A 27,352-nucleotide genomic window follows, 5' to 3' on the forward strand; every position below is an offset into this window, starting at 1 on the left:
AAACCTTTATCGGGTTATTTATAGGAATTATAAGTCATTTCACTTGGATTTACAAAAATATGTTTAACCTTTGGGGAGGGTTGAGGACCTCTGAAAATGTGGTGTAAACTATGATCCTTCTTCACAGAAATATATACATACTCATATGCAAACAAAATTTGTATATAACTTCTTTGGTTCATACATGATTGATTTTCCTGGCACAGGTTCTTAATTTTTTTCCTACTGTGGACTTCTGTAACAGTCTAAGAAATTTAGAACCTCTTCTCAGAATGTTTTTAAATTTAAAAAATTCATAGAATTACAAAGAGAAGCAACAAATGAAAGAAAGAAGCACAATACAGAATTTACAACACTGCATGACCCATTGACAATGAGCAATTTGTTAGCAATAAGAAGTCAGGTAATATAACACACATCAATAGCTATTTCAACTATTAAGACGTTTGAAACCACCTAGTATATATTCATCTGTGTACCTGTCCAGGTTACAGAAAGTCTTGCCACCTTACAGTTAAGAATTCTTGAGGGGTGGAGCCAAGATGGCCGAATAGGAACAGCTCCAGTCTACAGCTGCCAGCGTGAGCGACGCAGAAGACGGGTGATTTCTGCATTTCCCACTGAGCAAACGGCATACCAGGAGATTATCTCCTGCGCCTGACTAAGAGAGTGCTACGCCCACGGAGCCTCGCTCATTGCTAGCACAGCAGTCTGAGATCAAACCGCAAGGCGGGAGCGAGGCTGGGGGAGGGGCACCCGCCATTGCCTAGGCTTGAGTAGGTGAACAAAGTGGCCAGGAAGCTCGAAGTGGGTGGAGCCCACTGCAGCTCAAGGAGGCCTGCCTGCCTCTGTAGACTCCACCTCTGGGAGCAGGGCACAGCCAAACAAAAGGCAGCAGAATTCTCTGCAGACTTAAATGTCCCTGTCTGACAGCTTTGAAGAGAGTAGTGGTTCTCCCAGCACACAGCTGGAGATCTGAGAACGGACAGACTGCCTTCTCAAGTGGGTCCCTGACCCCCGAGTAGCCTAACTGGGAGGCACCCCCCCAGTAGGTGCAGACTGACACCTCACACGGCTGGGTACTCCTCTGAGACAAAACTTCCAGAGGAATGATCAGGCAGCAACATTTGCTGTTCACCAATATCTGCTGTTCTGCAGTCTCCGCTGCTGTTACCCACACAAACGGTCTGGAGTGGGCCTCCAGCAAACTCCAACAGACCTGCAGGTGAGGATCCTGTCTGTTAGAAGGAAAACTAACAAACAGAAAGGACATCCACACCAAAACCCCATCAGTATGTCACCCATCATCAAAGACCAAAGGTAGATAAAACCACAAAGATGGGAAAAAAACAGCAGAAAAACTGGAAACTAAAAATCAGAGCGCCTCTCCTCCTCCAAAGGAACGCAGCTCCTCACCAGCAACGGAACAAAGCTGGACGGATAATGACTTTTACGAGTTAAGAGAAGAAGGCTTCAGATGATCAAACTACTCCGAGATAAAGGAGGAAGTTCGAACCCATGGCAAAGAAGTTAAAAACCTTGAAAAAAGATTAGACGAATGGCTAACTAGAATAACCAATGCAGAGAAGTCCTTAAAGGACCTGATGGAACTGAAAACCAAGGCACGAGAACTACATGACGAATGCACAAGCTTCAGTAGCCGATTTGATCAGCTGGAAGAAAAGGTATCAGTGATGGAAGATCAAATGAATGAAATGAAGCAAGAAGTTTAGAGAAAAAAGAATAAAAAGAAACGAACAAAGCCTCCAGGAAATATGGGGCTATGTGAAAAGACCAAATCTACGTCTGATTGGTGTACCTGAAAGTGACGGGGAGAATGGAACCAAGTTGGAAAACACTCTGCAGGATATTATCCAGGAGAACTTCCCCAATCTAGCAAGGCAGACCAACATTCAAATTCAGGAAATACAGAGAACACCACAAAGATACTCCTTGAGAAGAGCAACTCCAAGACACATAATTGTCAGATTCACCAAAGTTGAAATGAAGGAAAAAATGTTAAGGGCAGCCAGAGAGAAAGGTTGGGTTACCCACAAAGGGAAGCCCATCAGATTAACAGCTGATCTCTCAGCAGAAACTCTACAAGCCAGAAGAGAGTGGGGACCAATATTCAACATTCTTAAAGAAAATAATTTTCAACCCAGAATTTCATATCCGGCCAAACTAAGCTTCATAAGTGAAGGAGAAATAAAATACTTTACAGACAAGCAAATGCTGAGAGATTTTGTCACTACCAGGCCTGCCCTAAAAGAGCTCCTGAAGGAAGCACTAAACATAGAAAGGAACAACCGGTACCAGCCACTGCAAAAACATGCCAAATTGTAAAGACCATCAATGCTAGGAAGAAATTGCATCAACTAACAAGCAAAATAACCAGCTAACATCATAATGACAGGATCAAATTCACACATAACAATATTAACCTTAAATGTAAATGGGCTAAATGCTCCAATTAAAAGACACAGACTGGCAAATTGGATAAAGAGTCAAGACCCATCAGTGTGCTGTATTCAGGAAACCCATCTCACGTGCAGAGACACACATAGGCTCAAAATAAAGTGATGGAGGAAGATCTATCAAGCAAATGGAAAACAAAAAAAGGCAGGGGTTGCAATCCTAGTCTCTGATAAAACAGACTTGAAACCAACAAAGATCAAAAGAGACAAAGAAGGCCATTACATAATGGTAAAGGGATCAATTCAACAAGAAGAGCTAACTATCCTAAATATATATGCACCCAATACAGGAGCACCCAGATTCATAAAGCAAGTCCTTAGAGACCTAGAAAGAGACTTAGATTCCCACACAATAATACTAATAATGGGAGACGTTAACACCCCACTGTCAACATTAGACAGATCAACGAGAGAAAGTTAACAAGGATATCCAGGAATTGAACTCAGCTCTGCACCAAGCGGACCTCATAGACATTTACAGAACTCTCCACCCCAAATCAACAGAATATACATTCTTCTCAGCACCACGCCGCACTTCTTCCAAAATTGACCACATAGTTGGAAGTAAAGCACTCCTCAGGAAATGTGAAAGAACAGAAATTATAACAAACTGTCTCTCAGACCACAGTGCAATTAAACTAGAACTCAGGATTAAGAAACTCACTCAAAACCACTCAGCTACATGGAAACTGAACAACCTGCTCCTGACTGACTACTGGGTACATAACGAAATGAAGGCAGAAATAACGATGTTCTTTGAGACCAACGAGAACAAAGACACAACATACCAGAATCTCTGGGACACATTGAAAGCAGTGTGTAGAGGGAAATTTATAGCACTAAATGCCCCCAAGAGAAAGCAGGAAAGATCTAAAATTGACACCCTAACATCACAATTAAAAGAACTAGAGAAGCAAGAGCAAACACATTCAAAAGGTAGCAGAAGGCAAGAAATAACTAAGATCAGAGCAGAACTGAAGGAAATAGAGACACAAAAAACCCTTCAAAAAATCAATGAATCCAGGAGCTGGTTTTTTGAAAAGATCAACAAAATTGATAGACCACTAGCAAGACTAATAAAGAAGAAAAGAGAGAAGAATCAAGTAGACGCAATAAAAAATGACAAAGGGGATATCACCACCCATCCCACAGAAACACAAACTACCATCAGAGAATAAACACCTCTACACAAATAAACTGGAATTATCTAGAAGAAATGGATAAATTCCTCAACACATACACCCTCCCAAGACTAAACCAGGAAGAAGTTGAATCTCTGAATAGACCAATAACAGGCTCTGAAATTGAGGCAATAATTAATAGCTTACCAACGAAAAAAAGTCCAGGACCAGATGGATTCACAGCCAGATTCTACCAGAGGTACAAGGAGGAGCTGGTACCATTCCTTCTGAAACTATTCCAATCAATAGAAAAAGAGGGAATCCTCCCTAACTCATTTTATGAGGCCAGCATCATCCTGATACCAAAGCCTGGCAGAGACACAACAACAAAAAAAGAGAATTTTAGACCAATATCCCTGATGAACATCGATGCAAAAATCCTCAATAAAATACTGGCAAACCGAATCCAGCAGCACATCAAGAAGCTTATCCACCATGATCAAGTGGGCTTCATCCCTGGGATGCAAGGCTGGTTCAGCATACGCAAATCAATAAACGTAATCCAGCATATAAACAAAACCAAAGACAAAAACCACATGATTATCTCAATAGAGGCAGAAAAGGCCTTTGACAAAATTCAACAACCCTTCATGCTAAAAACTCTCAATAAATTAGGTATTGATGGGATGTATCTCAAAATAATAAGAGCTATGTATGACACACCCACAGCCAATATCATACTGAATGGGCAAAAACTGGAAGCATTCCCTTTGAAAACTGGCACAAGACAGGCATGCTCTCTCTCACCACTCCTGTTCAACATAGTGTTGGAAGTTGTGGCCAGGGCAATCAGGCAGGAGAAGGAAATAAAGGGTATTCAATTAGGAAAAGAGGAAGTCAAATTGTCCCTGTTTGCAGATGACATGATTGTATATCTAGAAAACCCCATCGTCTCAGCCCCAAATCTCCTTAAGCTGATAACCAACTTCAGCAAAGTCTCAGGATGCAAAATCAATGTGCAAAAATCACGAGCATTCTTATACACCAATAACAGACAAACAGAGCCAAATCATGAGTGAACTCCCATTCACAATTGCTTCAAAGAGAATAAAATACCTAGGAATCCAACTTACAAGGGATGTGAAGGACCTCTTCAAGGAGAACTACAAACCACTGCTCAATGAAATAAAAGAGGATACAAACAAATAGAAGAACATTCCAAGCTCATGGGTAGGAAGAATCAATATCGTGAAAATGGCCATACTGCCCAAGGTAATTTATAGATCAATGCCATCCCCATCAAGCTACCAATGACTTTCTTCACAGAATTGGAAAAAACTACTTTAAAGTTCATATGGAACCAAAAAAGACCTCGCATTGCCAAGTCAGTCCTAAGCCAAAAGAACAAAGCTGGAGGCATCACACTACCTGACTTCAAACTATACTACAAGGCTACAGTAACCAAAACAGCATGGTACTGGTACCAAAACAGAGATACAGACCAATGGAACAGAACAGAGCCCTCAGAAATAGTGCCACATATCTACAACCATCTGATCTTTGACAAACCTGACAAAAACAAACAATGGGGAAAGGATTCCCTATTTAATAAATGGTGCTGGGAAAACTGGCTAGCCAAATGTAGAAAGCTGAAACTGGATCCCTTCCTTACACCTTATACAAAAATTAATTCAAGATGGATTAAAGACTTAAATGTTAGACCTAAAACCATAAACACCCTAGAAGAAAACCTAGGCAATACCATTCAGGACATAGGCATGGGCAAGGACTTCATGGCTGAAACACCAAAGGCAATGGGAACAAAAGTCAAAATTGACAGATGGGATCTAATTAAACTAAAGAGCTTCTGCACAGCAAAAGAAACTACCATCAGAGTGAACAGGCAGCCTACAAAATGGGAGAAAATTTTTGCAATCTACTTATCTAACAAAGGGCTAATACCCAGAATCTACAATGAACTCAAACAGATTTACAAGAAAAAACCCCATCAACAAGTGGGTGAAGGATATGAACAGACACTTCTCAAAAGAAGACATTTGTGCAGCCAACAGACACATGAAAAAATGCTCATCATCACTGGCCATCAGAGAAATGCAAATCAAAACCACAATGAGATACCATCTCACACCAGTTAGAATGGCGATCATTAAAAAGTCAGGAAACAACAGGTGCTGGAGAGAATGTGGAGAAATAGGAATACTTTTACACTGTTGGTGGGACTGTAAACTAGTTCAACCATTGTGGAAGTCAGTGTGGCGATTCCTTAGGGATCTAGAACTAGAAATACCATTTGACCCAGCCATCCCATTACTGGGTATATACCGAAAGGATTATAAATCATGCTGCTATAAAGACACATGCACACGTATGTTTATTGCGGCACTATTCACAGTAGCAAAGACTTAGAACCAACCCAAATGTCCAACAATGATAGACTGGATTAAGAAAATGTGGCACATATACACCGTGCAATACTATGCAGCCATAAAAAAAATGATGAGTTTATGTCCTCTGTCGGGACATGGATGAAGCTGGAAACCATCATTCTCAGCAAACTATCGCAAGGACAAAAAACCAAACAGTGCATGTTCTCACTCATAGGTGGGAATTGAACAATGAGAACACATGGACACAGGAAGGGGAATGTCACACACCAGGGCCTGTTGTGGGGTGGAGGGAGGCGGGGAGGGATAGCATTAGGAGAGATACCTAATATTAAATGATGAGTTCATGGGTGCAGCACACCAGCATGGCACATGTATACATATGTAACAAACCTGCACGTTGTGCACATGTACCCTAAAACTTAAAAGTATAATATAAAAAATAAATTCTTACTTGAATTGTGCAATTTGTAGAACTTTAATAAAAAAATGATACATCTTACTCGTATTTGACCAATAAACAATTTAGAATTGTATAATACTTGAGGGCAACTTTAAATGTCTGACTGATACGAGAACAAACAACTTTACCGTGTGGTGGCTCAGTAACTACTAGCTGCAAAATTGCTTGATATTGGCCAGCTATGTCATACAAGTATCTCCGGCCAGCTGTGTCATAGAAGTATCTCTACGCAGAACTGCAGTTAGGTGTCATATAGCAGCAGATCTCACAACTGCAGGGATTTTCTTTTGTTTTTTTGAGACAGTCTCACTCTGTCACCCAGGCTGGCAGTGGTGTGATCATCATGGCTCACTGCAGCCTCAACCTTCCAGGCTCAAACCATCCTTTTGCCTCAGCCTCCCAAATAGCTTGGACTACAAGCATGCACCACTACACCCAGCTAATTTTTTAAAAAAATTTTTGCCAGGTGTGGTGGCTCATGCCTGTAATCCCAGCACTTTGGAAGGCTGAGGCAGGTGAGGAGATCGAGACCATCCTGGCTAACATGGTGAAACCCCGTCTCTACTAAAAATACAAAAAATTAGACGGGTGTGGCGGCACACGCGTTTAGCAACTCGGGAGGCTGAGGCAGGAGAACGGCGTGAACCCAGGAGGCGGAGGTTGCAGTGAGCCGAGATCATGCCACTGTACTCCAGCCTGGGGGACAGAGCGTGAGACTCCGTCTCAAAAAAAAAAATTTTTTTATAGAGTTGGGGTCCCACTGTGTTGCCCAGGCTGGTCTCAAATTCCTGGGCTCAAGCAATCCTCCTGCCTTAGCCTCCCAAAGTGCTGGGATTATAGGTATGAGCCATTGTGGCCAGCCAGGAATTTTGAAGAAGAAATTAGTATAAAAATTTGGGAGGATATCAGTACATCTGTAATATATTAATAATTTAGAAATATTTGTGATTTCTATGAATGACAAAGCTGCAGATACTTATGATTCTACTGTGGTTTGTAGACATATTCATGATTGAAAGAAATGCCAGTTGGAAGTTAGTGAAAATAAAGACATAATTTTTTCCAATCCAAGTTCACCGACTACCCTACCCCTATTCTATCTTCAGGTTTCTTGAGGGTGTGAGGACCTCAAATTAAGAGCAACGCTGTTCAAGGGTCATTTTCCCCACAGAAAATGGTAACATTTGAATGCTATACTAAATGAACAAAGTTTACAGCCAGAATCCCTGCCCATTTCCTCAGAACTTCCCCATGCTGCACTCTATCACCCAAGAAACTAAGAGGAAGCAATACATTGGCACACCCATAACCTATCCTTAGAGGACACTGTTTGAGAGGCTCTGCTCTAGGGGTTTAAAAACACAAAATTAAGAATGCTGATCGAAAGTGTACTATTTAGATTGTCAGGTAAGCAACATTTATCATAAAATAACATCTCAATTATTTTAGGGGAGAGAGGCTCTGACTTTAGAAAATGTATTTCTTGGCCGGGCATGGTGGCTCACGCCTGTTATCCTAGCATTTTGGGAGGCTGAGGCAGGTGGATCACCTGAGGTCAGGAGTTCAAGACCAGCCTGGCCAACCTGGTGAAATCGCATCTCTACTAAAAATACAAAATTAGCCAGGCTTGGTGGTGGGCACCTGTAATCCCAGCTACTCTGGAATCTGAGGCAGGAGAATCACTTGAACCCGGGAGGCGGAGGTTGCAGTGAGCTGATATCACACCATTGCACTCCAGCCTGGACGACAGAGTGGGACTCCATCTCAAAAAAAAAAAGAAAAAAGAAAAAGTTATTTCTCACATGGTGTTTGCTTTTGAGGGATTTTTGGTTATTGCTTTTAATCTCTGCAGGACTACAACCAACTTTTTAGGAAGACGCATCTGGCTATTTTTAATTTTGCATCAAGGTTTTGGATATGTATTACTTCAAGTTGCACTTTAAATTGTACTTAATAAATCAAAAGTGTTAGGCCTACCTCTTTGAATATCGTTTGTCATATAAGAATTAAGTTAATTAGGACCATGTTTCTTTGTTTTTTTCATGAATTTATAAAAACATTAAAACTCTGCAATAATACATTTTTGGATATAATATGGCCTGTTTTCTCCATCAGGAGAAGACCAAAGTTCCTGGGAGTCGAGGAGAGGAGAGAATGGGAAACGTGGGGGTGGGGAGAATGGGAAACCTAGAAGACTAGGCACATTCTTTGTATTCTCACAGCCCAGTCTTCCATACAGGGCCAATAAAATGATGTATGTTATTAAACTGGCGAGTTCCTGGACTCGCTTTACTTCTCCATGAAGTTCTAGCTAGCTACAGGTCCCAGGGTTATCCCCATTGATACTTAGGCCAAAGAATATAGTTAGGACCAGATGGCACAAGTCCGTAGCAAATATTAGGATGGGTTGGGATCTGCAGCTGGACCCCAGGAATTCTCAGTTTGCTAAATGCAGAAGATTGCCTAGGTCATATTATGAACCTTGTGGTAGAATGACTCTGCATATTACATAATAATTTTGGGCCCCACTTAATACAGGATTTTATTGTGTGTGTCAGAGGTTTACAAGTAGTTGATGTCATCATACAGTATGTTTATTTCTATAAAAATATTCATTATAAAACTGCCAACACAAGGGCATACCACTTCACGCCCAGTAGAATGGCTGTAATAAAAAAGACATATGTAACAAGTGCTGGTGAGGATGTGAAGAAATTAGAACCCTCCCATTGCTGATAGGAATGTGAAATGATACGGCTACTATGGAACAGTTTGGTGGTTCCTCAACAAGTTAAACAGAGTCACCAGATGACCCAACAGTTCCATTCTACTTATTTATCCAAGAGAAATGAAAACATGCATCCAAACAAAAACTTGAGTGTGAACGTTTATAGCAGCATTTTTCATATTAGCCTCAAAGTGTGAACAGCCTGTAGGGGAGGCAAAAGTTGACCTCCACCATCTTAAGGTCTCCAGCTGGGCCTTAAGGTCACCTTAGCCTCCCAGAGCATTGAGATTACAGGCAAAAGCCACTGTGCCTGGCCAGCATATTTTAAGTGATTTTATCTTACTTCATCTGACATAGATTAACAGGAGAAAAATGTGCAGATTTATTTAAGATTTATGTCACATGGGAGCCAAAGACGTGGCAAAACCTGAGTGATTTTATGCTAGGTTGAAGAAAGAAAGGCAGCTGTGGAAAAGTAACTAAAATCTACTGGACAGCTAAAGGAAGATGAAAGTTATTTTAACAAGGTCTGTTTGTACAGAATTCTCTTGGCCTTGATTCCCTGTCACTGGTCACAAGAATGTTTCTTTCCTCCTGGTTTCAGGAGAGCATCTTTCCCATGGGAGTTTTATCTCTGGCTTTCAGGTAGAAAAGGGGAGGTCAGAGCACTCTTGAGCCTGCTGACTTCAGATTGCCTTTAGCTCAAAATAATGTTTATGCCAAAGTGGCATATTTTGGGGTAGCGTTTTCTGCCACCCTTCAAGCCCAAATGTCTATCAACTGATGAATAAATAAAATGTGGTATATCCATGCAGTAGAACATACTTTTCAGCCACAAAATGGGATAAAGTACTGATGCATGCTACAACATGGATGAACCTTGAAATCATTATGCCAAGTGAAAGAAGCCAATCACCAAAGACCACATATTGCATATTATGTGATTCCATGTATATTAAATGTTCAAGATAGGTAATTCATAGAGACAAAAGTTAGATTGTTGGTTACTAGGAGCATAGAGGAAGGGGGTGGAGGGAGTAAGGAATGACTGCTGATGGGTAGCAGGTTTCTTTTTGGAGTGATGGAAATGTTCTGGTGATGGTGGAACATCTTGATAAATACACTAAAAGCCACTATTTTATACCACCATACTTGGAAAAATAATTTAAAAATAGAGAAACTGGTAGTTTTGGAGAGAGAAAATGTATTTCTACTTTTGGAACACTGGGAGTTCTCAAATTTCTCAAGCCTACTGTGAAGAAAAGACTACTCTGAAATTTGGGTTACTTAGCTTGTTTGTTTGTAGAGATGGGGTCTTGCCACTATGCCTGGCCTAACAAATTGTTTTTGAATAAGATAAAATGACTTAAAATATGTTGGCCAGGTATGTGGGTTACACCTGTAATCCCAGCGCTTTGGGAGGCCGAGAGGGGAGGATCTCTTGAGCCCAGGAGATGGTGACCAGCCTGGGCAACATAGTGAGACCCCTGTTTCTACAAAAAAAAATTAAAATAATAATTAGCCAAGTGTGGTGGTCCACACCTATAGTACTAGCTACTCAGAAGGCTGAGGTGGAAAGATTGCTTGAGTCCAGGATTTCGAGATTACAGTGAACTAGGATCATGCCTACACACCAGCCTGGGTGACAGAGTGAGAAGAGGCTAGGCACAGTGGCTCAGGCCTGTAATCTCAGCACTTTGAGAAGCTAAGGTGGGAGGATCACTTGAGCCCAGGATTTTGAAACCAGTTTGGGCAACCTAGTGAGACTTTGTCTCTAAAAATATATATATATATTTTTAATTAGCTGTGCTTCATGGCACATGCCTGTAGTCCCAACTACTACGGAGGCTGAGGTGGGAGGATTGCTTGAACCCAGGAGGTCAAGGCTGCAGTGAGCTGTGATCACACCACTGCACTCCAGCCTAGGCGAGAGAGTAAGACTGTTCTTAAACAAAAATTTGTTGAAGAATTTATTTTTTTTTAATTCTTTATTCAACTAGGAAAAACTCATTGTATCCAACGAACAAGAAGTTTTGCGAGTTCATTACAGAGCTGCAAGAACATTGGCAAATCAAACACTGCCATTTAGTGCTTGTACTGTTTTGCTGGATGCCGAAGTATACAATGTACCATTGGACTCTCAGGTAAAATGTTTGTTGATACATTTAGAAGTAATGGTCTGAAAAAATGCAACTTGGCTATTTTTAGAATCTATTTCCATAGAAAGAACTTGAACTCAACAATCATTAAAGGTCAAAGAAGAAAAAAAACTCTTTCAAGCCAGAGTACTTCCAGATCAACTGGTCCTCCATTTTCTAAAGCACTGTAAACATTAGGTTTCTATTATAAAAGCAGATGATCACAAAACACCTGTACATTTAGGATAGTGCCCTTACAGGTACACATAATTTGTTTCTAAAGTGAATGTTTATACCTTTAGTTCTGACCTTCAGGCAGCTAGAAAGCTATTGTACACTGAAAAATAGTGCAGCTAGATGGCACCTCTAGGTTGTGACAGTCCTAAAAACAGAGCGAGTCTTCTGGTTTGACTTTGAATGTTGGTGGAATACATGAACTGTGGAAGACTGGAGAAATATCTTCAATAAAGTTTACTGCCACATATAAATTACATGAACTCAGAACCAGTCATACTAGTTTTCAGAATTTGTTTATGGCTTATAAACCAGAAAAGAAAGAATTTAAAGATTAAAATTTTTATAATAAACAGTGAAGGATTATCACCTGAAAACAGACTAGGAAATGCTGTTCTAAAGGAAATAAGCTAGTAGTACAAAGGATAATAGGGTATATCACAGAAAAATATTTTTAGACTCTTCTGAGCTTTATTTTTCTCATCTATAAAAAAATCAAGATTGAACTAGATAGGTAGGTTTCAAACTTAAGGCACTGAATGGGTGTGGTGGCTCATGCCTGTAATCCCAGCACTTTGGGAGGCCAAAGTGGGCAATCACTTGAGCTCAGGAGTTCAAGACCAGCTTGGGAAACATGGTGAAACCCCGTCTTTACAAAAAATATAAAAATTAACTGGGTGTGGTGGGGCACACATGTAGTCCCAGCTACCAGGGAGGCTGAGGTAGGAGGATCTGTTGAGCCTGGCAGGCCAAGGCTGCAGTGAGCTGGATTGTACCACTGCACTCGAGCCTGGGCAACAGAGTGGGACCCTGTCTCAAAAAAAAACAAAAAAAAAACTTTAAGTCTCCAACTTTTATTTCAAATGAAAGTGTTCAGAGATATCTGAGGATGCTATTAACATGAATAATTGTGTCTCTTCAGAAAGAACTGTGTGACTAAAGAAATAGGCACTGGAGAGGCCACTGAGGGACTTTCTAGAACTTTCATATTTAAAGATGTTTAAAGGGAAGAATGGATGGTTTTTAATAACTGCAATTAACAGTTTAACCATGTTCTTATAGGCTGGACTAAACAGTGGTATCTTGAGATCTTTTTAAGTTTTGAGCAATCAGAGAGAAATGAGTTTTAGAGCAATATAAATTGAGGTTTATAATCGAGCTACAATGAAAAGTCTCTTGATTTCTAGCTCAGAATGGTTGAGTAAATATATACATACCTGTTGATTCCTTCTTTCTCCCAAAACTCATTGAAATGACAAAAGACATAAAAATTTCAAAGCCTGGCATGGTGGCACATGCCTGTAGCCCCAGCTACCCCAGGTGGCTAAGGTGGGAGGATCGATTAAGCCAAGGAGTTCGAGCCTGCAGTGAGGTATGATTGCGCCCGCTGCACTCCAGCCTGGATGACAGAGTGACACCCTGTTTCTTTTTTTTTTTTTTTTTTTTTTTTTAAGCAGAGTCTGGCTCTGTCGCCCAGGCTGGAGTGCAGTGGCACGATCTCGGCTCACTGCAAGCTCTGCCTCCCTGGTTCATGCCATTCTCCTGCCTCAGCCTCCCGAGTAGCTGGGACTACAGGCGCCCGCCACCACACCCGGCTAATTTTTTGTATTTTTAGTAGAGACGGGGTTTCACCATGTTAGCCAGGATGGTCTCGATCTCCTGACCTCGTGATCCACCCGCCTCGGCCTCCCAAAGTGCTAGGATTACAGGCGTGAGCCACCGCGCCCGGCCGACACCCTGTTTCTTAAAAGTAAAGTAATTAATTAAATTCATTAAAAATAAAAACAAATTCATAGCAGAGCTGGAAATTGAGGTGGGAAACTGTTAGACAAAAACATTAAGAAATTTCTGATAAGATTTAAAATAGATGAAAACATATTGGTAATCAAATACAGCAGAGTTGAGGAATGCCCAGTATCATACAGGTTAAAAAGAGAATTTAAAAAATAAATGCGTTTTCCTAGAACAGTATAAATTTTCAGTTATAAAGGGATTTTGATAACTTGAGTAATTCATTTTCCCTGCCCCAGATTTTCTTAATGATCCAGACCACCTGACTTTAGATTAAATTAAGCTTGCTGAGATCCTTTTGTGGATCATAAGCCTGATGATTGGGTTTTCACACTGTGTGAGACAGGCCTCTCTCAAACCTTGTTGCATTGTGCACACATTACCTGTCTGACATGGGGGAAGAAATTCAGCTTGATGAGATACCAAAATGTGAGGTGTATTCTCTTGACAGAGAGAAACTTATGCTAAAAACATTTCTGCATTTTTGGTGACTTATTTAAATATGGAACTGTTATCCACCCTTTTACAGCTGGCTTTAGAGTAGAAGGTCTCAAGTAGCATGCGTTATTTCCTATGGGAGTAGCCTTGGAAGGAACTAAAGGGAAAAAAGTCTACTTTTCTTTGGGTAGAGGCTCAGATCATCCATTAGTCTACTCTCTTATCACTTCTTCCTTTTCAAAATAAACTTGTTTGAGCACCTGAAATGTGGTAAAGAAAAATAAATAAATAAACTTGTAATACTTAAGAGTCAACAATAACATTTTAAATAGTCAAAACATCTAACTTGGGGCACCAATGAAGAAATTATAACTGCTAAAAATGTGAGTAGTGGCCAGGCACGGTGGCTTACGCCTGTATTCCCAGCACTTTGGAAGGCAGAGGTGGGCAGATCACGAGGTCAGGAGTTCGAGACCAGCCTGGCCAATATGGTGAAACCACATCTCTAGTAAAAATACAAAAATTAGCCAGGTGTGGTGGCGGGTGCCTGTAATCCCAGCTACCTGGGAGGCTGAGGCGGGAGAATCGCCTGAACCTGGGAGGTGGAGATTGCAGAGAGTCAAGATTCCAGCCTGGGTAACAGAGAGAGACTCCATCTCAAAAAAAAAAAAGAAAATGTGAGTGTGGGAGCTACCTGCTGCCTGGATGTCAGTTTGACAGCACTGGTAGTGGTAGTAATGGAGTGAGTGCTGCATTGAGTGCTTCCTGTGTACCTAAGCATTATGATGAGGGCTTTATAGACACTTTTCATTCTCAAAACAAGCTGAAGAGAGGTTACCACATTTTACAGAGTATAAGACTGAAACTGTATAATTAGTTCAAGATCACGTAGTAAGATACAGAGCTGGAATTTGAATATAGTCTGTTAATTCCAAAACTGGTATTCTTAAGTGTTGATAAAGAATTTCTTCATGAGAAAGAATTTCTTCATGAGCACCGCAGATATTGGTCCTGGAAGAAATTTTGGCCTCAAAGGCAGCTCTCTCCCACCTGGATACTTTTTGTCCCTACAGATAGTAAACTGTAACATTAAAATTAAATCTGTAATTGGTTATACAGTAATAATGTCACGGGCACAGTACTTAATGTAACATGCCTTTTTGAGAAATGTCTTTGACTTAGAGCAATAGGAATCTATTTTAATTAATAATTAAACCTACCATCCCAAGAATTCTAATAACCAATCTGTCTACACAATGTGGAAATAAAAGTTTTACCAACTTCAGCAGTATTCAATTTATATATTTCTCAAAATATATTTTCATCGTTACTAAGAAAGCAGCATATACCATAAAAATACTATAATGGCATATAGATTTTAAAGTGATTTATTGTATTTTATAATACTCACTTTTCTCTTTTAGTCTGATGACAGTAAAACTTCTGTGAGGGATCGCTTTAATGCAAGACAATTCATGTCTTGGTTACAAGATGTGGATGATAAATTTGACAAATTAAAGGTATGTATGTTTGGAAGTCAGTTTAAATGAATGCTTCCCCCTTCTTAAAAAAAAAAAAAACTCTACAGCTGTATTAGGGAGAAATAATTAGGAGGGGAAATACTGGTTAGTCATGAATCCTCACACTGGGCCACAATTGGAAAGATAAAGACCACAAGTCCATTTTAAGGACTAGTTGTAGTATGAAAGAGGAAACTGCCACAGAAAATGCAGTTTCTAGTGTGGGTCTTCATGCTTACTATCCAATGTACCTGTCTGGTTATAGCTTGAACATAACGAAAGAATAGGAGAATGGTAAGAAAAGGAATATAGTTTTCAAATCTATAAATTATTTGATTTGAGATTTTGAATCATTTCAGAAGTCTTTCCCCCCTAGATTTTCATGTTTCTTTTGATAATTTGAAATCTCATAATTTGAAATAATATTTTCAAATTAAAATCTATAACAGCAGTCCCAACCTTTTTGGCACCAGGGACCAGTTTCGTGGAAGACAATTTTTCCATGGGTTGGGGTGGGAGGATGGTTTGGGGATGAAACTTTCACCTCAGATCATCAGACATTAGATTCTCATAAGGAGCATGCAACCTAGAACCCTCGCATGTGCAGTTCACAATAGGGTTTGAGCTGCTATGAGAATCTAATGCCGTTGCTGATCTAACAGGAGGCTGAGCTCAGGTGGTAATGCTTGCTTGCCGCCACTCACCTCCTGCGGTGTGGCCCAGTTCTGAACAGGCCATGGATCGGTACCAGTCCGTGACCCGGGGGTTGGGGACCCGTGCTGTATAAGGTGAAAATGAAGTTGCAGACCCACAAATAGTTGGTATGTGTGTACAAACAGGATAAAACAGAAATGGACTTGTAGGCCGGGTGTGGCAGTTCACACGTGTAATCCCAGAACTTTGGAAGGCCTACGTGAGCAGATCACCTGAGGTCAGGAGTTCAAAACCAGCCCGGCCGACATGGTGAAACCCCATCTCTAAGAAAAATACAAAAATTAGCTGGGCGTGGTGGCACATGCCTGTAGTCTCAGCTACTTGGGAGGCTGAAGCAGGAGACTCGCTTGAACCCAGGAGGCGGAGGTTGCAGTGAGCCCAGAGCTCGCCACTGCACTCCAGCCTGGGAGACAGAGCAAGACTCTGTCTCAAAAAAAAAAGAAAGAAATGGACTTGTAATTCAAATGCTTTTTATGCTCCTGATGTGTCCATTTTAGTTCCTAAAGAAACTGGATGAGATTAATTTTTAAACAAAGCAAAGTTAACAGAATAATCAAGTAACTCTTCTCTTCTTTTAAATAGACCTGTCTTTTAATGAGGCAACAACATGAAGCTGCGGCTTTAAATGCTGTCCAGAGGTTAGAATGGCAGCTCAAACTCCAGGAACTTGATCCTGCCACCTATAAATCTATCAGCATTTACGAAATCCAGGAGTTTTATGTTCCCCTTGTTGATGTTAACGACGACTTTGAATTGACTCCTATATAGCAGTCAGTACTTCCTGATGGTATTGTCCTAAACTGGTGATGCTCAAGCATTATACTGTGGAATACTGCCTTTTGACAAAAATACTCATGCCTTTACAATTGTTAGTAAAGTTCGATTATAGTTGGTTATGTAGTAAACACTGTCATTTTATAAAAAATGAGAATTATTTTGGATCTTAGATCCAAACACAGTTTCTAATAGAAAACTATTATTTATATTGGGAAAGGTAACTATTGCATTAGAGCATGTTGGCAGACTGGTAGGTATTTAAAAAGTTGAGAATCTGCTAACAGCGCTGGAAGTTGTTAGCGCTCTAAGTAATAAGATAACCACTAGTATTCAAATCTCTTTCAGGTTTTATTAAAAAATATATATCAATAAACTAAAAGGTTCAATTCCTACCAAATAGTTTCTAATGTGGGAGAAAAACTTGGCACAAAATTTCTTCAGTTTATTATCTGTAAATTGTACAGTTTTCTTTTTGAAAGTTTTAATATTGTCTTCCTTTTTAATAACTTATTTTATACATATTGTGCAGATGTAAATCTTGTAATTAATGGTCAAACTGTATAAAGGGATTGGTAGTCAAAACATGTACAAAGAAATACCTGTAAAACTGTTTTGTCTCATGTTTTATTGGACCAAAGTTGTGGTTTGTATGGAGTGTAGTAGTAGTGTGTACAGGTAGAAAACTTTTAAATACAGCATGCAGGTGTTTCAGTTAGCTTGTTTTCATCACCATAACTGCAAAGATGTGGCTTAGTTGTATTGCATGCTTCCTATAATTTAACTCTCCATAATTGATGCCTGCAGTAGTGTAAGGCATTTCATACTAGTCTCCTCTAGTAGACCTGTGACTTACTGTGTTGGACATATTATTTAGACTTAGTCATACAAAGAAACTTAGCTCTTTTTTCATCTCACAGTAAAGCCTATTTCCCCAGGAAAAAAATAAATGCCTTTGAATGAAAATTCTGAAATTGTAAATGTCTATTTTAATATTCACCTATGAAAGAATCTGTGAATATATGTAAATACGTTTAATAAATTTTATTGGTCATGTTAAATCATTGTAAAACTTTTTTACATTGCTTAATGTTTTAAGCTTAATAGCCTTTGCACTTTTAAAATAAAAACCAAGTATGCAAATCAAAGATATTTGGTAGTCAAAATAAGTAAAAGAAATATAGGAATATTCCAGTCAATCTCTGAAATGTTTATGAAAAACAGGTTAATATGTTGTATTTTTTTCCTTGTATCAAGATGCAAAACATAATTTGCAAAATTTTATAATTGAAATAAAACTTGGTATGCTGTTTTATAATAAATTAGCAATATACTTTAAAAAAAATCCAGTTTCTCCTATAACATGATGTAAATTAAATATTCAGGAATATTTCAGGTCTGAAATCTGCTGCTGAACTTGTTAGACATTTTTGAAAGGAAAATTAGGTTAGCGTACAATTTATCATAAATATATGAGGTAAAATTTGCAAAACTTTCCACAGTACTTTCTTGAATTATAATACTGAATGTTTTCTGTTCCGATAGAGAAAAGTGAAGCAAATATGTGAGGAATGAAGTGATCTAGTGCAAGTTGGTAATTCCAGCTAATGGGAGAGAATGTAAATGTGCAAAGGTACATATTAAGCTTAGGGATTTTTGAATTTTTACGTCAGTTTATATTTTAATTCTTACTGTACTTGGCATGCGCAATAAAGCAGCACATGTAAAAAAAAAATACACAGTGCAAGGACTTTATTATAAAGGTTGGATGTAGTTTTCCTTAGAAATTTAGGTGAGAGATTTTGGCCTTTTTTATTGGATAAATTGGGCCAGAAAGGCAGGGTAGATTTCGAAGCACTGGTTCTGTTGAAGTTAAGTTTATTAAGCCTGGGAACATTAAAAGCTAATTTATAAAAGCAATACTTTTTAATATGAAAACTTACTGCAAAGTTTGTTTATACTTTTGCCTAAAAAGGAAATTGGATGGGATACTGTGGCAAATCATAAAAAACCAGATAATTGAACTTTGAAGTTATAGAAAATCAGAGAGGGGTAAGTTTATAGGGCATTTTGTTCTGATGGTTCAACCAGAGGTCTGGGAAATAGCACTGTTGGCCCAAACAGAACAGGCTTTTAGAAGATAAAAGCGACAAGAAGGAATCTGGTGAATTTTAGTCATCCCAGCTTTTTAGTCTTAACCACAGTTCTCACTCTCTTAAATGGTACCTCAAAAAGCTGGAGCCTCTCTGCCATGATTATGCTTCTACAAATTTCTTTTATAAAGAGACTCAAAGCTAATGATAGCTTAAAAGAAAAGTTAATGCCTTCTCATTGGAAATGTATAATCAAATAAGTAGTTAAGGGCTTTTGGTATTAAAGATATTCTGAAGCTCTGAAATGCTAGAAAAAAATTTGGAATGGAGTATATGCCTGAAAAGGTTTTGGATTCAGAAAGAAAAAGGATGGTTAGTTTAATCAGTGATTCTTTTTAAACTCTTCAAATATCATGAACAAGATACTAAATTGTACCTAAGGATTTGTATTTCTTTACAATTTGTTCTAAATATCTGTTTAATGACTAGTTGATATTTGTGCATGTTATTTAATAAAGAGTTATATTTTTATAGAAAAAAAGAGTGAAATGTGTGCTAACTGTTTTTTTACTTAATTTTACTTGGGCAGCTAGCAAAATTGCAGAAATATGCATCCTGGGAAAAGAAACAGCCTTTGAAGAATTAGCCTTTCAAGTTCAAATCTATTTAATAATGAGAAGTCTCACAAGTGAATTTTTAAGTACAGGCATACCTCAGACGTACTTTAGGTTCCAGACCATCTCAGTAAAGCAAATACCACAACAAAGCGAGTCAGGAGGAATTTTTTGGTTTCCCAGTGCATATAAAAGTTTTGTTTATACTATATTAAGTGTGCAATAGCATTATGTCTAAAAATATGTACATAAGTTTAAAAATATTTTATTGCTAAAAATGGTAACAAAGTGAGCACATGCTGTTGGAAAAAGAGCACCAATAGACTTGCTTGAAGCAGGGTTGCCACAAACCTTCAATTTGTAAAAAACGCCAATATGTACAAAGCACAATAAAGCAAAGCACAATAGAACAGGATTGCCTGTATTAGACATGCTACAAACTTCATAACTGGAAACATCTCAAAGACCCCATGAAGCTCATTTGAATGGGACTTAACAATTAGACAGTTATTTTAGAAATTGAGTGCAGACCTAAATACATAGTTTTCCAAAAAGAAAATTATTGTCTCTGATATCTTAAAACATAAAAACCCAAAATTTTATATAGAAGAAATTGACTCTGTAAAACGCAATGAAATAGTCCTCTTTTTAAACAGTTTAAAGGAAGCATTTTCACCGTTTGTAAAAATTATTTTTAAATATTTAGGGCAAAATTTTTGTTAGATAATAATGGAAAAGCTTGTGTGAGTTTAGTGGTTAAAATATCTTGTAATTCATCATTATTTAAGTGACTTCTTGGGAGCCGTCTTTGTACCTAAAATGGAGTTTTTTTTTAAGCCTCCACAGAGATAGTCACCCAAAGTATTTCCAGTCAGTAAAAGTAGAATTCATAGAAAAAACTGAGGCAAATTAAAACAATTCCATTAATCAAAATGGCTTTAAACAAATTAAGTATTAGCATAAAAATAGCAAAAAGTACAACTAAAAAAATGGTTGGGTTTTCCCAGTGGTTAAATGCTATATAATAACTGCAAATAAAAGTTTTTTTGTACATGGACAGCGTCCTCATAAAAGAAAATAGGCCAGGCCAGGCGCAGTGGCTCGCGCCTGTAATCCCAGCACTTTGGGAGGCCAAGGCGGGCGGATCACGAGGTCAGGAGATCGAGACCATCCTGGCTAACACGGTGAAACCCCGTCTCTACTAAACAAAATGCAAAAAATCAGCCGGGTGTGGCCGCGGGCGCCTGTAGTTCCAGCTACTCGGGAGGCTGAGGCAGGAGAATGGCGTGAGCCTGGGAGGCGGAGCTTGCAGTGAGCCGAGATCGTGCCACTGCACTCCAGCCTGGGCGACAGAGCGAGACTCCGTCTCAAAAAAAAAAAAAAAGAAAGAAAAGAAAATAGGCCAATATGGTGAAACCCTTTCTCTACTAAAAATACAAAAATTAGCCAAGCGTGACGGTGCCTGCCTGTAGTCCTAGCTACTTGGGAGGTTGAGACAGGAGAATCGCTTGAAGCCTGGAGGCGGAGGTTGCAGTGAGCTCACGCCACTGCACCCCAGCCTGGGCAACAAGAGTGAAACTCTGTCTCCAAAAAAAAAAAAAAAAAAAAAAAGTATATCACATATGTAGCATGTGTTTACAAGTTTAAAAGGCACCACCTATGCACTCATCACTCAAGAGAATATCAATAACTTTCTCAGTTTTTTTTCATTGTTATAGTCTGTATTCAATAAAATTACCCAGATCTTAACTAGGCAGTTTGATAAATCCTGACAAATGTAAACACTCATGTTACCATCACCCAAATTAAGATATTGTAAAACATTTTCATTACTCTAGAAAGTTCACTCATGCCTCTCTCCAGTCACTACCCCTGAGGCAGCCACTGTGCTGATTTCCCATCACCATACATTAGTTGTACCTAGCCTTGAACTTCATAGAAATAGAGTCATACATACTTCCTTGTCTGCCTTGTTTCTCAACATGATGTTTTGAAATTCATCCATGTTGCACCTAACAGTAATGAGTCGTAATTTATTAATGAGTAGTAGTGTATTGTACAAATTTGTTTATTCGTTCTCTTGTTGGTATTTGGATTGTTTCCAGTTTGGGACTATTGTTAATAAACCTGTGAATCTGCAAGCCTATTTTGTGGACATATTGTTTCATTTCTCTTCGGTACATACCATGGAGTACAAACACTAGGTCATAGAGTAGGTGCATGTTTCACTTTATTAGAAACTGACAGTTATCGGCTGGGCGCAGTGGCTCACGCCTGTAATCCCAGCACTTTGGGAAGCCAAGGTGGGTGGATCACTTGAGATCTGGGCTTCCAGACCAGCCTGATCAACATGGTGAAACCCCGTCTCTACAATACAAAAATTAGCTGGGTATGGTGGTGCGTGCCTGTAGTCCCAGCTATTAGGGAGGCTGAGGCATGAGAATCGCTTGAACCTGGGAGGCAGAGGTTGCAGTGAGCCGAGACAAGATCATGCCACTGCACTCCAGCCTGGGCAACAGAACAAGACTCCGTCTCAAAAAAAAAAGAAAAGAAAGGAAAAAAAAAAGTTCTCAATAGCAGTTGTATCATTTTATACCCCTATCAGCAACCAGTAGGAGGCCCAGTTACTCTGAATCCCCGTCAATATTTGGCATTGTCAGTCTTCAATTTCAGCTATTCTCCTAGATGTGTAGTGGTATCTTGTGGTTTTAATTTACATTTCTCTGGTAATTAAAGAGATTGAGCATACCTTTCATATGCTGATTGGCCATTTATACGTCTTATTTTTTGAAATTTTGCCTATTTTTAATTGGGTTGTCTTCTTATTATTCATTTGTAGGAATCCTTTATAAGCCGCATAAAAGTCCTTTGTCAGATACAATTATCATGGATGTTTTTACCCAGTGTGTGGCTTGCCTTTCCGTTTCTCTTAGTGACTAGTTTCCTCACCTTTTAACAATTCCTTTACATTGATAACGATCGTCCCAGAGTATTTAGTAGATGTCTTAAGTCACCCCAAAAAACAAGTTTTTCCCTTTAATAACTAGCAATCATGAGGCCACATGGGTACACAATACCTTTAGGTCTCAGGAGCACCACCTCTATTCATTGTAAGGCCATTTGTATTTGACATTCAGAAGTTTTCAAAACCCCCTCCTGAATTAACCTATTACTTCTTGACACCCTTTCCATATTGCCTGAGTTGTAGAACAAGTATTTATGTCGTTCTTAATACTGTGTGTTTTTTAAGCACAGGGTGGATAGTCATGAAAAAGTCCGGTATCATAAGTGAACTTTAGAAAGGAGATGAATTGTCTGAACCGGGTCATGTGGGCAAGTTTCCAGCCGTCCTGCTGATTTACATGCATCTATGCATGAAATCAACCAGCACACACTTAGGACTCCATGGGGTGTGTCAGGATATGTGTCATTTGAGGATTTACACAGCATTTACCTCGGTCCCAGTTCTCAAACATTTTGGTCATAGTACCCGCTGGACTCCGAAAGTACTTTGAGAGCTTTTGTCTTTGTGAGATATCTTGATATTTACTATATTAGAGATTAAAACAATTTTAAAGAATATTAATCAGTAAACCTATTTTGTGTTTATTTTTATAAAAAATATATTTCCAAAACGAAAAATTAGGAAAGTACATTATTTTACATTTTGGCAAATCTTCTTAATGTCTAGCCTAATAGGAGATAGCTGGAATTTCTTTCTTTTTTTTTTGACACGGAGTCTCGCCCTGTCGCCCAGGCTGGAGTGCAGTGGCACGATTTCGGCTCACTGCAAGCTCCGCCTCCCGGGTTCACGCCATTCTCCTGCCTCAGCCTCCCGAGTAGCTGGGACTACAGGCGCCTGCCACCACGCCTGGCTAATTTTTTGTGTTTTTTAGTAGAGACGGGGTTTCACCGTGTTTGTTAGCCAGGATGATCTTGATCTCCTGACCTCGTGATCCGCCCGCCTCAGCCTCCCAAAGTGCTGGGATTACAGGCGTGAGCCACTGTGCCCAGCCACAGCTGGAATTTCATTTCTGCTTCCACACTCAATGTGTCGGGATCTGTTTTGGTTTTGCTTTTTTGGTGTTAAAGAAAATATGACATCACAAATATGCAGTAGGAAAAGAGAAATATTTTAATAGATTTTTAGATAATTATGGGCATTATTCTTTAATTCCACATCAAAACATGACAAGCAGTTTCTAAAAGGTTAGTTGCCTTGTGGAATCAGAAACCATATCCATGAGCTTTTATGAACTTTTCCTAATTCTGTTATATTAAAATTCATTTGACTGTCTTGTACTTTGAATGGATCTTTTGCCAGTGCATTATTTTGTACCATCATGCCTTCATCATTTGGAAAATAACGTTTCACTGAAGTATTCAGATCTTCCAATGCTGACACCTTTCATTATACAAAATCAAAAAAAAATTCACATTTTATCACCAGTGATCTTATCAGAAAAATTGTTTAAGTAGTGGGAAGCTCTTAAACTCTATATGACATATACAAGTTTTCCAAAATTCCAGTTTTCACTTGAAAGCATAGGCTTTCTCATTGGCAACAAACACTTGCCATTGTTTTCCTTAAAAAGTGACATGCTTGCTTCATTTATTTTCAAGAATATGTCTGTGAAGGAGCCACGCGTGCGTAACTGCAGCCTGCTCAAGTCTGGCTGCACGCCACACAGAGGCCAAACATGAGAACCCACATGTGATGAAAGGAGGGCAAACTTTTTTTTTTTTTTGTGGGGGCGGGGAGGGGGACAGAGTCTTGCCCGGTCACTCAGGCTGGAGTGCAATGGCGTGATCTCGGCTCATTGCAATCTCCGCCTCCTGGGTTCGAATGATTCTCCTGCCTTGGCCTCCCCCAGTAGCTGGGATTACAGGCGCCCGCCACCACCATGCCCAGCTAATTTTTGTATTTTTTTTTTTTTTTAAGTAGAGACCGGGTTTCACCATATTGGCCAGGCTGGTCTCAAACTCCTGACCTCGTGATCCGCCCGCCTCGGCCTCCCAAAGTGCTGAGATTACAGGTGTGAGCCACCACGCCTGGCCCAAGGGACAAAGGTTTCAAAATGTCTTTCAAGGCTGGGATATTCGGTTATATAACCATAGTTCGTCAGTCTCATGGAAAAAGCAGTTAGATTTGCAACTCAGTCAAGGACTTTTCTCCAATCACTTTACTTTGGTATGCAACAAAAGTATTTTATGCATTCTCCCATTTTTTAAACAGAGTAACAAAAAGATGTGGACCCAAGGATTGAGATTAAATAAAATCAATAATTTTTACTGTTTTATCAGCAACATTAAAAAGTTGGCCTTTATGGCCAGGTGCAGTGGCTCATGCCTGTAATCTCAGCACTTTGGGAGGCCGAGGTGGGCAGATCACCTGAGGTCGGGAGTTTGAGACTAGCCTGACCAACATGGAGAAACCCCGTCTCTACTAAAAATACAAAATTGGCTGGACGTGGTGGCGCATGCCTATAATCCTAGCTACTTGGGAGGCTGAGGCAGGAGAATTGCTTGAACCCAGGAGGTGGAGGCTGCAGTGAGCCAAGATCGTGCCACTGCACTCCAGCCTGGGCAACAAAGTGAAACTACGCCTCCAACAACAAAAAAAATAAAGTTGGGTTTTTAATTCATTTTTATTTTTTTTAGACAGCGTCTTGCTCTGTCACCCAGGCTGGAGTGCAGTGCCACAATCACTGCTCACTATAACCTTGTATTCTTGGGCTCTTTGGGTCCTCCCACCTCAGCTGGGACTACAGGCATGTGCCACCACTCCCAGCTAATTTGGTGGTGTTTTTTTGTTTGTTTGTTTGTTTGTTTGTTTTGTTTTGGTTTGGTTTTTGCTTTTAACAATGAGAGCTTGGCAATGGAGAATGCAATAATTCCTGGTACAGTTGGCTGCAGCTGCCTCAGTTTGTGCTAAGGCACCAACAGTTTCATGTACCATTGTTTTGGTACAAATGGCAACACTTACAATTGCAAATAATAAAGAATGTTTTCCTATCATTGGAAAGTCTGTAGACTACACTTTGAGAACTGCTGACTTAGCACTTCTATAAAATAAAGGTGAGCTAAAAATACATTATACATTTGCACAATGAGTTACTGTGTAAATATAACAGAAGGGAAAGAAACTATACTTATATGGTTGGTTGATTGGATTTTGCCAAATTTAAATGGAAACCTAAATTTACCCCCACACCAATTCCTTGATGGCTGCTGGTGCTATATAAGAATTAAATTCCCCCGTGGCTTCCTGAATTGGAGATCTGACACTTTGCTTTAATGCTTTACACTGTAGGCACAATTTTCTAAGTCTTTTTTTTTTTAATTTGTTTTGTTTTGTTGTTAGAGATGGGGTCTCACTCTGTCACCCAGGCTGGAGTGCAATGGCCTGATCTCAGCTCACTGCAGCAGCAACCTCTTGGGCTCAAGTGATTCTTTCACCTCAACCTCCTGAATAGCTGGGACATGCCTATAGGCATGCCCAGCCTGTTGTTTATTTCTGAACAGCTGTGGCTATTAGAAAACTCTTTCCTCCAGAGCCTCAACCCCCATCCCATGTTGACATGACTGCCCTCTGGAACAACACTTCTGGTAAGAAAAATATTCTACAGATGTGTTATATAAACAGATAATATAAATAATAATGGTTTAAATATACATTCTCTAATGGGCTAAACAAAAAAAAATATGTTATTAGTACAGAACAAATAGATCAAATTGAGAGAATCCTGAAACAGATTCATATATATTGAACTTTTGTACCATGATATAGGCAGTATTTCCGATTGGTGTGTAACAGACAATAATGATTACACATGGTACTGGGTCAGTTGGAAGACATAAAATGATAGATCCCTACTTCATGACAAATTCAAATATAACTTCATATTGTAAATCAAAAATAAAATTCCAAGCCTCCCAACCATCTGAATGGACCCTCCCTCTTGGCCAAGGGCATTCCAAAGATAACCTGAAAAACTAGTTCAGGCCATGGTGGGAAGTGGAGTCGGACACCCATCATTATACCCTCCTCCCTTTGGGAAGTCAGGCCCAGCTGACCAGCATTAACATTAAAACAGGTCTTAAGACTGACAAAGAAGACTCTTTGTAACAATAAGATACCAAATTCCAGCCTGATTTTAGTATAGCATTACATGACAGATCACAGGCCCTGAAAGAAATTGAAGTGTTTTACCCCATATTATGTTTCTTTGCCATATCTTGAAGTAGTCTTGCAAAGCTGTCTCTTGTGGGGAAAATCTACATTCTGAAGAGAATCCTGTTGGCTTTCCCAGGCCTTTTTCCTGATCTGAAAGAGAATCAGCTCTGATAAGACACATTTACAGGCTGGGTGCAGTGGCTCTCGCCTATAATCCCAGCACTTTGGGAGGCTGAGGCAGGTGGATCACCTGAGGTCAGGAGTTCAAGATCAGCCTGGCCAACATGGTGAAACCCCGTCTCTACTAAAAATACAAAAAAAAAATTAGCCGGGCATGGTGGCACACGCCTGTAATTCCAGCTACTTGGGAGGCTGAGGCAGGAGAATAGCTTGAACACAGGAGGTGGAGGTTACAGTGAGCTGAGATCGTGCCATTGCACTCCAGCTGGGCCATAAGAGCAAAACGCCGTCTCAAAAAAAAAAGGCCAGGCACGGTGGCTTATGCCTGTAATTCCAGCACTTTGGGAGGCCAAGGCGGGCAGATCACAAGGTCAGGAGATTGAGACCATCCTGACCAACATGGTGAACCCCATCTCTACTAAAAATACAAAAATTAGCTGGGTGTGGTGGCGTGCACTTGTAATCCCAGCTACTCTGGAGGCTGA

At 39.6% G+C, this 27,352-nt stretch overlaps 1 protein-coding gene and 1 non-coding gene across 23 annotated transcripts in view, besides 1 other annotated feature; both read left to right on the forward strand.

Moving 5' to 3' along the window:
• The window catches only part of ANKRD12 (ankyrin repeat domain 12), a 149,205-nt gene extending 127,549 nt beyond the window's left edge, over positions 1 to 21,656 (forward strand). For 21 of the 22 annotated variants that reach the window (XM_005258093.5, XM_017025661.3, XM_017025663.3 and 18 more), the window contains 3 exons: positions 11,195 to 11,338; positions 15,220 to 15,315; positions 16,612 to 21,656. In XM_005258093.5, the coding sequence (XP_005258150.1) occupies positions 11,195 to 11,338; positions 15,220 to 15,315; positions 16,612 to 16,797 (426 nt within the window). In that variant the 3' untranslated portion in view covers positions 16,798 to 21,656. Of the gene's footprint in view, positions 1 to 7,572; positions 8,443 to 11,194; positions 11,339 to 15,219; positions 15,316 to 16,611 lie in introns of those variants that run through there. The other variant, XM_011525638.4, reaches the window with a different exon arrangement.
• Positions 171 to 773: an enhancer, noted in NCBI's record as "NANOG-H3K27ac-H3K4me1 hESC enhancer chr18:9264498-9265100 (GRCh37/hg19 assembly coordinates)". NCBI's record gives its function as "activates a minimal SCP1, AML or CMV promoter by ChIP-STARR-seq in primed H9 embryonic stem cells {active_cell/tissue: H9 hESC(primed)}" and the evidence as "EXISTENCE:reporter gene assay evidence [ECO:0000049][PMID:30033119]".
• LOC124904369 (small nucleolar RNA U13) lies at positions 13,650 to 13,750 on the forward strand. The gene has a single exon (XR_007066487.1). It is a non-coding gene; the product is annotated as a small nucleolar RNA U13 (small nucleolar RNA).

This window comes from Homo sapiens, chromosome 18, assembly GCF_000001405.40.
Source record: "Homo sapiens chromosome 18, GRCh38.p14 Primary Assembly".
Taxonomy (NCBI): Eukaryota; Metazoa; Chordata; class Mammalia; order Primates; family Hominidae; genus Homo; species Homo sapiens.